Source organism: Homo sapiens, chromosome 6 (assembly GCF_000001405.40).
Source record: "Homo sapiens chromosome 6, GRCh38.p14 Primary Assembly".
In the NCBI taxonomy this organism is placed as follows: domain Eukaryota; kingdom Metazoa; phylum Chordata; class Mammalia; order Primates; family Hominidae; genus Homo; species Homo sapiens.
Window position 1 is genome coordinate 97,302,230 of NC_000006.12, and position 12,413 is coordinate 97,314,642.

Below are 12,413 nucleotides of genomic sequence, written 5' to 3' on the forward strand. Positions count from 1 at the left end.
TGTTAGTCAAAAGCAAGTCACACAGGACCAAGCCAGATTCAAGTGGCAGGGAATGCACAAAAGCATGCATTCTGAGAGGCATGGTTCATTGGAGGGCCATCTTTGAGGACTAATGACCAAAGTGAGCCTATACACATATACAGTAAAACCACAAAGACTCTGCCTTTAAGAAGCTTATAGTATTGTATAGGGCAGGGGTTTTTAACTTTTGCACTACTGACTCTTTTTATTAAATACATTTTATTTTTAGAGTAGTTTTAGATTTATAAAAACATTGCAAAGATAGTACAGTTCACATATACCCTACACCCAGTTTCCCCTATTATTAACATCTTACATTAATATGGTACATATATTACAATTAAAGAACCGATCAATTGACATTATTATTAACTACAGTCTATACTTTACTCATATTTCCTGAGTTTTAACCTAAAGTCCTTTTTCTGTTCAAGGGTCCCATACATTACGTTTAGTTTACATATCTCCTTAGACTCCTCTTGGCTATGATAATTTCTTACACTTTGTTTTTGATGGCCTTGACAGGTTTTTTTTTTTGTTTTTTTTTTTGAGACAGTCAGGCTGGAGTGCAGTGGTGGATCTCGGCTCACTGCAACCTCTAGCTCCTGGGTTCAAGCAATTCTCCTGCCTCAGCCTCCCGAGTAGCTGGGACTACAGGTGCGTGCCACCACACCCAGGTAATTTTTGTGTTTTTGGTAGAGACGGGGTTTCGGCATGTTGGCCAGGATGGTCTCGATCTCTTGACCTCGTGATCTGCCCACGAGGCTGAGGGGCCTCCCAAAATGCTGGGATTACAGCCATGAGCCACCGCATCTGGCCAGGTTTTGTTTTTTTTAGAGACAGAGTCTTGCTCTATCACCCAGGCTGTAGTGCAGTGGTGCGATCACAGCTTACTGCAGCCTCGACCTCCTGGCCTCAAGTGATTTTCCCATCTCAGCCTCCCAAATAAGCAGCAATGAGAGCAACCATGCCTCACTAAGTTTTATATTTTTTGTACAGACAGAGTTTTCCCATGTTGCCCAGGTCAGTCTTGAACTCCTGGGCTCAAGTGATCCTCCTGCCTCGGCCTCCCAAAGTGCTGAGATTACAGGCATGAACCACCACACCTGGCTCCTTGGCAGTTCTGAGAAGCCTGGTCAAATGTTTTATCAAACGCCCCTCTATTGGAATTTATCTGATGCTTTTCTCATGATTAGATTGGGGTTAGAGCACACACATTATCAACATGACTTACCATTGTTGATGTACCTTCTCACTACCTGGCTGAGGTAGTGTTTGCCAGGTTTCCTCTGTAAAGTTACTCCCCCATGAAACCCCCATGAAACTCCCCTCCCACCTTCTACTGTGGAAGTCAGTAATCAGCCCACACTTTAGGAGTGGAGAATTATACTCCCTCTCATTAAGAGAGGTTATTTATATAAATCATTTGGAATTATTTGGCAAGGAAGATTTGTTTCTTCTCCTCTGATTATTTTTCAATAATTTACTTACATTAATATAGACTCATGGTATTTATATTATACTTTGAGTTATAACCCAATACTACTTTGTTTATTTTGTTGTTTAACTAGTTCTAGTTTTAGACATCGAGAGCTCTTTCTGATGGTTCCTGTGTCCCTTTGACATACCCCTAACAATGTGGGTTTTGTTTTGTTTTCTGAGCACTTCCTATTTCCTAGCACTGCAAGATACTCCAGGCCCACTTTGTATATTTTCAGCCCCAGTCCTAGAGTCAGCCTTTCGTCTAAGGACCCCCAAGTTCCTTTTATTAGAAGCCAAAATTTGTAGGGTGTATAACAGTATCCTTGGCCTCTGCTTATTGCATGCCAGTAGCAACCTTTCTCCTGTAGTCATGAAAATCAATGATGTTTCCAGACATTGTTAAGTGTCTCCTGGAAGGCAAAATGGCCCCAAGTTGAGAACCACTGCTATAGAGATAGACCTGCTGAAAATTACATTAAGATAATATGATGGAGGCCAGTGGGAGCATTCCAGAAGAAGCTTCTGAACCTGTCAGCAGATATTGCTGCAGAGGAGGTTTGCCAGAGGAGGTGCCATTTGAACTGAGAATTGATTTGCAATTCTCAGTTTTATTGAGCAATTATCACAAGCCAGACATAAGGTAATGTTTTACTTTAATTATTTCTTATAATTCCAACCTTAAAAAGCAGATATTATTGTCAGTTTACAGCTGAAGAAACTAAGGTTCAAAGGGACAAAGTAACTTGCTTAGGGTGCTTGAGCTGGTCTTGAAAGTTCCAGCTGTGCATGTGGATGGAAAGTTACAAGGGTGCTGACATGTGCCCACACTGCTTGAGTCAAGACTATCTCAACTACTTTCTTTGTTTACAAACCTGCAATACCACTTCATTTTAAATTTATTTTTTTCCCATTGAATTCTGGGTTCTCGAGAGCAGGAATCTTGCAGTGTTCATCTTATGTCTGCTTTCTAGCACAATGTTTGCAGTGATAGGTGTTCAATAAATGTTCAACAAGTGAATTAATATTAATCTATGTCATCAAATTCACCACTTACAGCTTATGGAATTAATTCAAGTTCCTTCCGGTCAGATCACTATCCTGGCAGCACCTCTGGTAGAGGACTCATTGCTAGACACACCAACCAACCTCCAGGAGTCTTTTAGTCACTCTGTCTCATTGTTTTACTCTCAGCATCCCGTAAGGCTAGTAGGCTGGTATTATGACTTCCTCAAATGATTATGGTATGTGATCATAATATGTTGCCATGGGTTAGAGCTACAAAACAGGAGTTCTCTAAGGAAGGGAAAAATATGCTACATCTCTAATATTAAAATGTCAGAATGTATTGTTACTAATTTTCACATGTAACCCCAATTTTATATATATATATGTATATATGTGTGTATATATATATTCTTCTGAAAATCCCTTTATCTTGATTGTTGTAGCATTTTAAGATGAAATTTTATGCAGATCATGAAAGAGTTTTTTTTCCTTTCTTTAAATTCCTTCCCATTCTCATCGTAATTTCCTTTTATTTAATTTATTTATTAATTTTTGGTTGTGAGGATGGAATCTTTCTCCTTGTTTATTAAACAAAACAAGGGGAGAAATGTCCTTTTTTTGTTGCTTTTCTTTATTCTACAACTTTTGGATCTGCTATTTGCAGTTGCTCTGAAATTTTGTCCATTGAATTAGAAGTTGCTCTCTGGTTTCAAGACTCTTTCTTCCTTTCCTTTGCTAAAATTTGGTCTAATTAAAAAAACAGTAGATCATAGTTAAATAAAACTGTACCCAGGATAACCCTAATTTCCATATGCAGATTTATCTGCACTGACAGCCACCCCCCTTACACACACACACTCTCTCTTTCTCATTCTCCTTTCCCTCCTCTCCATCTCCCTATTGCATTGTGTCTGACTGATTTTCAGAGCACCTTCGCTGTTTCCCCCTTCTCGTTCCCTTCTCATAAAATATCTAGACAGGAAGGAGGTGGCTGCAGAGGCTGAACAATCTCATATTCTGCCTGCAATGTCATCGTTTCTTTCCCCCATTTTAGGGGGCTGAAGTTGCCCAGCAAGGGATGCAGAGGAGCTGGAAAAGAAGGGGGGAGCTCTCCAGAGGCAGCTGCGGTCAGGGGCAGGGACTGCCGCCAGATGTGCCTGCCTTTCTGGGCTTTGATGAGAAAGGGGCAGCAGGAGGAAATATTGGGAGACAAAAGCCCCGGTTTAAATGATCATTTTCTTTATTTAACATGGCAGCAGACACTCTCTGCGTAGGATCATCATGCCGAGCATAAACTGGACTTTCCCACTTGCCTGGCAGGAGTCACACAGATCCCTGCGTGCTAAATGAACATCTGAGGTAAGACCCACTGTTTCAGATACTTGCTTTTTTCCTAATCGATTAATTTTCTTAAATATATGTTTCAGCCTCAACCACAAACAGCATAGTGGGGGCAAATCTGTGTTAATGTGTATCTAAAAAGCCAAGAAAAACCAGAGGCATAATAGATTCAAGTCAATTTGGGGAGGTTAGTTACTTTGTCAATTCTATGTATGCTGTTTGTTTTGTAGGAAAAATATTTGGTTTAAGAATAGACTAGTGTCATCCTAATCCACCACTGGTGATAATACTGATGTTCAGACTCTTAAAAAAACTTTGTAAAAAGACAGTGAGCTACAGATGCATGTGCTGTATTTTTAGCTCACATACAAATATTAGAACTCTTATTAAAATGATAGGGTTTTTTTTTTAGCAGAGAAGGATGAATGCTGCATAATTAAGTACAGTATTTAATTTGGCTGTTGTGAAGCAAAAGAATAAGGTAATAATTTTTATTGTACTAATCAGTCTCAAGATGTTCTCTGTGTTAATTGGGTTAAAAAAATTGCAGTACTTATTAGAAATTCTAATTTCACAATGCAGCACTGACAATAAGCTCAGCCAGTGAATTATTCACATCTTTAATTTGCTCACTTAATGACAGTGTTCTGTAATCAGAGTGCAGAGACTGCTGCCTATGCATTATGTATGATGCTCAGGACTTAAATGCAGGACATTATGAAGCTCTCAGTGGTTCAGTAATTAGTTTTCCACAAGACAGGATTTAGATATTCAGAGATAAAAGTCCACAGTTGGATAATATTAAGGTTGCAACACAAAATAACAAAGGAAAGGAAGCTCAAAGTTTGGACTGAAACTTTGTCTCTAGGGCCTTGTCCACCGTGGAAACAGAATCATGCCACCTGAAATAGTTGCCTAGCTCTGATCACATGTTTGAAAACTGTTTTTGAACAAAGTTGTAGCAGGCAAGGCATTTGAACAATTTCAGTGGACCAGAGGGGAAAGATAAAACCTTTTTAATTAGTGTTCACAGAAGCCCTGCAATATATCCTCCTAACAAGTCTGTAGTATGCATAGCAGGCATCCTCAATGTGCTTTGTAACTTAGTTAGTGCAAATGCAAATCAGGTTACAATAGTGTTTGGCTGTAATTGTGTTTGTAAAAGGGTTACATGCCCAAATGGAGATTGAGCTTGCTCATGGTTTTGTTCCAATTGCTTCTGAGGGAAGGTTTGAAAATCAAATGAGATATTAAGTAAATCTGGGCATGAAAGGAAGTAGATCCGAATTGTCACTGCAACTTTGGAATTTCTTACACTTGTCAGTTTGGAGTTGTCAGTTTTTCTTTAACGATGCTACGGTTGTTCTGTCATAATTATGTAACTTTAATGGATTACCCAGCCCATTAGCAATACTTTAAAAATGTATACTAGGTTTCAGAAAACATGTCACAGTATCATTTCTAAAGTTTAATAAGTAACTTGAAATCTTTAAGTGATTTTTTTAAAAGAAGAACATGCTGTTATGGTAGACTATATGGGGTATTTTTGAGAGCTTAAATATTAATATTTACTAATAAAATCTCACTGCTTTATCATTTATCAGTCTAAGATTTGTGCTCATTTTCAAAATCCAGGAATTAGAATCCTTAGTAAAAATTGGTATCCAACATTGGAATACACAGCAATACTTTGTAAAAACTGCCTTTTATAGGTTACAGCATTATCTACAAGAAAGTTGAGTTGAGAAGCCTTATAAACAAATGTAATGTTTAGTAAATAATGAAGGGTCAAATTTCTAAAAGTTACATCTTACCATACATTTGAAAAATTCAAAATTAAAAAATGTAAGTCACATCTCCAAATTTGACTTCTAATTTCTAAAACTAAAAAGTTACTTCAAAAAATAAAAAAACTTTTTCATAAATGTTTAGGAAGCTATTGCCTGTGTGATACTTAGAACATACTTTTTGGAAACGATGCTTGATTGGAGCAGAATTAGGATACTAGGCAGCTGAGCAGGTGACCTGGCTTTGACTTGGGTTTGGATACAGGTTAGCATCCATGTATGGATAACATGTGGCAGTCTAATCAGATGGTGGCAGTGGTGCTGGTGGTAGCTGAACAGAGTTTTAAAAATAAATAAATAAATAAAAAGAAATAGAGAAATGGTTGAGAATTAGGAAACTTGAGTTCTATTCTCACTTTTGCCACAAAACAGCCATAAAGTTGTTACAGGGATAAATGAGGTAGGAGCAAAAGTTTTTTTGAAGATTATAAAGCACTAGATAAAAACAAGGGAGCTATTTAACATAAAGTTAAATGTATTTCTTTGAACCTGTGTTGTTCATTATGGCAGGGATTGCCATCCAGATTTGCAACACTCTATAATGCTAAAATGTCAAAATATTCTCAAGCAAATCAATTTAAATTTAATTAAATGAAAAATAAGCCATGAGGGGAAAAAAAGTATTCTTCTTAGGTATTTTGGGGAGAATAAGAGCATTTTGAAGTCTCATAAATGTCAATTTGGTGTTACCACTCCAAAAAGGTTAGCAATCATCATGCTTTAGAGAGTTCTTCTACCCATAACTTAAGAGACACTTGCATATTAATATTCTAAGAAGTCTTATGCATGAAATGTCTGCTAATTACTAAGATTTTAGCCATCTTTTTCATTATAGATTGTATGAGTCAGATTGAAATCATTTATACGACTAGAATTTTGGAGCTCTTTTCCTCACTAAAAGTCAATTTATATATCAATCAATCAATAATTGACTATCGGCTGGGTGTGATGGCTCACACTGTAATCCCAGCACTTTGGGAGGCTGACATGCAAATGGAAAGCAAGCTGGTCAGATGTGTGTTTCACTTGAGGTCAGGAGTTCGAGACCAACCTGGCCAAAGTGGTGAAACCCCAACTCTACTAAAAATACGAAAATTAGCCAGACCTGGTGGTGTGGACCTGTAGTCTCAGTCATTCGGGAGGCTGAGGCAGGAGAATCGCTTGAACCTGGGAAGTGGAGGCTGCAGTGAGCCTATTGTGCCACTGTACTCTAGTCTAGGCAACAGAGCAAGACTCCGTCTCAAAAAAATTTTTTTAAAATAGACTATCGATTAATGATTTTTTTCAACACCTACTGAGCACTTATAATGCTAAGAAAAATAAGGTGATAACTTCCTCTCATTCTTGAGAGGCAGTATCCCCATATTCCAGGTGAGAAATTGAAGCCTAAAGAAGTTAAGTAGGCTGAGCGTGGTGGCTCACGCCTGTAATCCCAGCACTTTGGGAGGCCGAGGCGGGCAGATCACGAGGTCAGGAGATCAAGACCATCCTGGTTAACACAGGGAAACCCCGTCTCTACTAAAAAGACAAAAAAAATTAGCCAGGTGTGGTGGTGGGCGCCTGTAGTCCCAGCTACTCAGGAGGCTGAGGCAGGAGAATGGCGTGAACCTGGGAGGTGGAGCTTGCAGTGAGCCGAGATTGTGCCACTGCACTCCAGCCTGGGCGACAGAGCAAGACTCCGTCTCAAAAAAAGAAAAAAAAAAGAAGTTAAGTAACTTGACAGCACAACAGAGCTGGTGAGTGGAAGTTGGAATTGAACCAGCTTTAGGTCCTCAATTTTCAACAAATAGACCATATTTTCAGTTTCCAAGGCCTTCTGCTAAGGCTGAAAGAAGGTAGATTGAAAGAGGTTCTTGTCCTCAAACTACTCACAGTGGTAATACTTGAATTTCTTCTACCTGGCTCAGTTGTTGGTCAAGACTCTTGCTCCTCTTGGTGCAGTCCAGAGACCAGCAGCATTGGCATCATCCAGAACTAGGCTTGGATGCTTCTCAAACATTAATGTGGACTTCGAATCACCTGGGATGTCTTTACAATGCAGACTCTTATTCAGTAGGTTTGAGATGGGGCCCAAGATGCTTTTCTGACAAGTTTCCTGGTGATGCAATGTTGCTGTTGGGGAAACCTCCATTTGGTGAGTTCTACAATTTGTCTTGTTTTTCAGTGTGTCTAAGGTAGGCCCAGTATACCTTACTGGGTTCCTTACTGAGTCGTAGCTTTCCTCCAATTCTGATGTTCTCTTGATTCAAATAGAAGAGCTTTCACCTTGGCTTCTTGGCTATGGCCCTCTGCTGCCCTGGGTCCCAACCTACATAGCTATGGCCCTGCCTGCCTGCTTATCTCTAGCTTAGACTTTCGAGTCCACACTCCCAGTTACCAGTGATGTTCTAACATCAGCCTGGTTGAGGATCTTCATTCCCTCCTCTTCATCAAAACCAACTGTGAAGCCCATTAAAAACCTGTAAGCCTTCTAGGTCTACAACCATAGATTTTAATTCTGGGGCTAGTCTTTGGAATTTTATTTTCATTTACAAAGTTTTATAGTTGATTCTGATGGGTGTCACATACTGAGAACAACTTCCCTAGGGGCCCCTGCTATGCTCTGACCTGATGGGAACCTCTTGGAAAGTAATATTGGCATGGCTTGGGTTCAAGTTTGCAATACACTGAGAACTTTTTCTCTATGCCTCTGTGTTAGCAATGAGAGCACAGCATGGAGAGAACTTAAAACTTTACTGAACTAGTTTCAGAAGGCTTTGCTGAGTGATTGGCATTTGAATTGGATAGCCATTGAATGAAGAGGTCCTTTGTTCAGGCCAAAGGAGTGGTATATGCAATGATAGTTAAAAGTGAGAAGTGCCTTAAGTAAACATCCATTTGGACAAAAGTGTTTGTTTAACACATGGAAAGGAGAAGTAGGAGATAAAATTATAAAGGTAGGTAAAAGCCTCACTTTTAGAACTTCATGTGTTACACCAAACAGTATGTGCTTTATTCTACATATTGTGAGGATTATCAGAGATTAAGATGGAAAGCAAGCTGATCAGATGTGTGTCTCAGAAAGATAACCTTGGCATTGAGGAAGATGAATTCAGTGAGGCAAGACTGAAGACAAAGAGACCAGTTAGGTACGTGTGGTAATAGAGTGTGAGAGATGAAGAGGGATCCTTTCCTTGTGCCATATGCCTGGGCCCTGAACCTAAGTTCCTCTGTCTCAGACACTGATGATGCTTTTTTTTTTTTACAGTTACATTTCATAGCAATAGCCTGCTAAGCCTCTTAGACTTTATAAATGGCATGGCCTTGAGCATTCAGGTAACTCAAAGCTTTTATGAGCCATCAGTGGTTCTTACTTCTCCTGATTATTTTATTTTATAGTGCTGAGACAGCTAGCTCTAGGGTTCTTCCCTCAGGAGATACTTAGAGTTTTTAAGGTAATTATTTGGTAGAAAATCTTCTACTAATGGCCTAAGATAAATTTGAAACCAGTTAATGAGCAGCTATATGAATCCAATGGTTGGGAGAGTTGTGTCTAGGCCTGTTGAATGCACTGCTTTGCTCTACCTTTGGAGAAAGACTTTGCGTTATCCTTGACCTAGCTTGATTTTTTTAGGTACTGCCTCTGGATTTGTTCCTTTTAGAGCGACAGCTCCAGTCAGTTGCCTTTTAAAAGTAAGCGTAGATGTGGCTGGGCGCGGCAGCTCACGCCTGTAATCCCAGCACTTTGGGAGGTGTTGGTGGGTGGATCACCTGAGGTCAGGGGTTTGAGACCAGCCTGGCCAACATGGAGAAACCCCGTCTCTACTAAAAATACAAAAATTAGCCAGGCATGGTGGCGGGTGCCTGTAATCCCAGCTACTCGGGAGGCTGAGGCAGGAGAATTGCTTGAACCTGGGAGGGGAGGTTGCAGTGACTGAGATTGCACCATTGCACTCCAGCCTGGGCGACAGGGTAAGACTCTGTCTCAAAAAAAAAAAAAAAAAGAAAAGAAAAAATAAGAAAAGTAAGCATAGATGTATTGCTTCACCAGCCTTCATTTACTCACCTCTACGTGGAAAGCTCACTAAATTCTAACAACTACATATATTGTATCATAGAATATATTTTGGGGACAATAATACTCTCAGATATGCCTAGGCATTTCAACAAGTTTTTGACCCAGCCTAGTTTGTTCTTATTTCCATTTCTGTTCTGTACTTCCTTGTTATTAGCTCAACTCTGTCTTCCTTTGTGGGGTAAACTGAGTGTCCCCCTCCCATGAAGATTTCCACTTCATAACTCTCAGAGCCTGTGAATATGTTACTTATACAGTAATCCTCTCTTATCTGAAGTTTTACTTTCCACACTTTCAGTTATCCATGGTAAATCACAGTCTGAAAATATTAAATGAAAAACTCCAGAAATAAATAATTTGTAAGTTTAAATGCTGTTCTGATTAGTGTGATGAAATCTGTCACCATACCACACTGTCCTACTCTGTTCCACCTGGGTGTGAATCATCCATTTGTCCAGTGAACCCATGTTGTAGACACTACAGGCCCATTAGTCACTTAGTAGCTGTCTCCATTATCAGATCTACTGTCGAGGTATTGCAGTGCTTGTGGTAAAGTAACCCTTATTTTACTTAATGATGTCCCCAACATGCAATAGTACTGATGCTAGCATGTTGTTAAAATTATTCTGTTTTATCATTAGTTATTGTTGTTAATCTCTTACTCTGCCTGATGTATAAATGACATTTTATTATAGGTATGTATGTATAGGAAAAAACAGAGTATATATAGGGTTCATTATTATCCTTGGTTTCAGACATTCACTGGGGGTCTTATCTCCCTTGAGAATAAGAGGGGGAATACTCTATGGCAAAAGGGACTTAAGAGATATAATTAAGAATTTTGAAATGGGAAATTATTCTGGATTTTCTGGGTGGGACTTATGTAATCACAACAGTCTTTTTAAAAGGTAGGCAGGAAAGAGTCAGAGAAAGGAGGTGCTACTGTGCTGGATTTGAAGACAGAGGGAGGGACTATGAGCTAAGGAAAGCAGGCATCCTTTAGAAACTGCAGAAGAATGGAAACAAATTTTACCATGCAGCCTCCAGAAGGAACCAAACCTGCCAGTATTTGACTTCTTATATCCAGAACTGTAAGACAGTAGATTTGTATTATTTTAAGCCACAAAGTTTGTGGCAATTTGTTACCCCAGTAATAGAGTATTAATATAGCATATGGTGTACCTTTAACTGATTTGTTTCTTTGCTGTTTGTCCTACTGATAACATTTTTATTGGTTCATCGTTGTTCTTTCTTGACTACTTCTCTTTTATTGAGTCAGCACCCTTACTTTTTCTGAGCATCCATTTCCTCACTTAATGACAATAGTGTTTTCTAGGAGATGAATGACTGCTGGCGTCTGAGGTGAATGAGGTAAGGCCAGCAAAGCACGCCACAGTGTCTGCTGTACAGCAGGTGTGTAATGAATGCAGCTCCTGTCACTTCGTGGGCTTTTGCCAACCTGATCATTGGGGTTTTACTCACAATCTTGGAGACATTTAGAAGCTGTTTTGCATATTGGCAACTTACAGGATAGAAAAGTTTCATTTAGAATTTAGATTAGTAAGTGCTTAGTGCTAATAGCATTTCTAGATTAATTTCATTTTCTTCAATCCATTTCAAATCTCATTTAAAATATATTTTAATTTTGAATTCTTGACTTTTGTGGTAAAATACATCTCATTTGTGGCCATGTCTACACTTTAAATACTGAACTAGCTAAAGCTAAGCAGAGCAGAATTCCTCCCCCCTACCCCCCCAACACACTACAGTCCACAGTACAATTAGTGTCCTACATAGATAGAAGCCTTAAGGGTTAAGTGAGAATGCAGGTGAAAGTACTTTGTGAAGTCTTTTGCTGTACAATGTAATTTGTTGGTACATTGTTGCATTTTTAAGGTTATGAGCTCCTTGAGAATAACACTGTGTATTATTTCCTTGAATCCCCAAGGCCTTACAAGATTTATTAAATAAATTACTAAATAAGTTAGAAAATTAGAGTGGGGAAAGGAAATGAAGAAGTGTTAGAAATAAAGAACTGGATTTGGTAGTTCTTTGAGTAGGATCACTCACTAGTTGTCTTGGAAATGGCTCCTGATCCCTGTATTTGCGCTCTCACCCCCTAACCTATACACTGCTGGTGTGTAAATGCTAAACCCTCCCTCACATAACTTGTCTCAGTAACTCAGACTGCCCAACTAGGGTGGGCATGTAAAGCAACCCACTCCCTAAATGAGTTTCCTATTGTTGCCATACGCAATAACCATAAATGTGGTGGATTAAAATGACACACATTTGTTATCTTACAGTTCTATAGTAAGAAGTCTGGTCCAGAGTCTTAGCTCTCACCAGGCTAAAACCAAGGTGTCAGTAGGCTGTGTTTCTGTCTAGAAGTTCTAGGGGAGAACCTGCCTTGCTCATTTGAGTTGCTGGCAGAATTCAGTTCCTGGTGGTGGTGGGGCTGAGACCCCACTTTCTTGCTTACTGTTTGAGGGATATTTCCAGCTTCTTAAGGTCATCCACATTCCTTGGCTCATAGACCTGTTCCTCCATCTTCAAACCCCACAATGGCAAGTCCAGTTGCTCCCTCACTTCAGATTTCTCCTCCTCCTTCTTCCATATGATCTTTCTGGCCCATTCTTTTGCCTCTCTCTTTCAATTTCAAA

The 12,413-nt window shown here is 39.3% G+C and overlaps 1 long non-coding RNA gene across 1 annotated transcript in view, besides 1 other annotated feature; it reads left to right on the plus strand.

The window, feature by feature from the left end:
* The first annotated feature begins 3,356 nt into the window (after positions 1-3,356).
* LOC101927314 (uncharacterized) overlaps positions 3,357-12,413 on the plus strand; it is a 403,332-nt gene continuing 394,275 nt past the window's right edge. The window contains exon 1 of the long non-coding RNA NR_110757.1: positions 3,357-3,867. This is a non-coding gene — a long non-coding RNA (uncharacterized LOC101927314). The remainder of the gene's footprint in view (positions 3,868-12,413) is intronic.
* Positions 3,938-5,408: an enhancer, noted in NCBI's record as "VISTA enhancer hs978". NCBI's record gives its function as "enhancer in: forebrain[3/4]" and the evidence as "EXISTENCE:transgenic organism evidence [ECO:0001131][PMID:17130149]".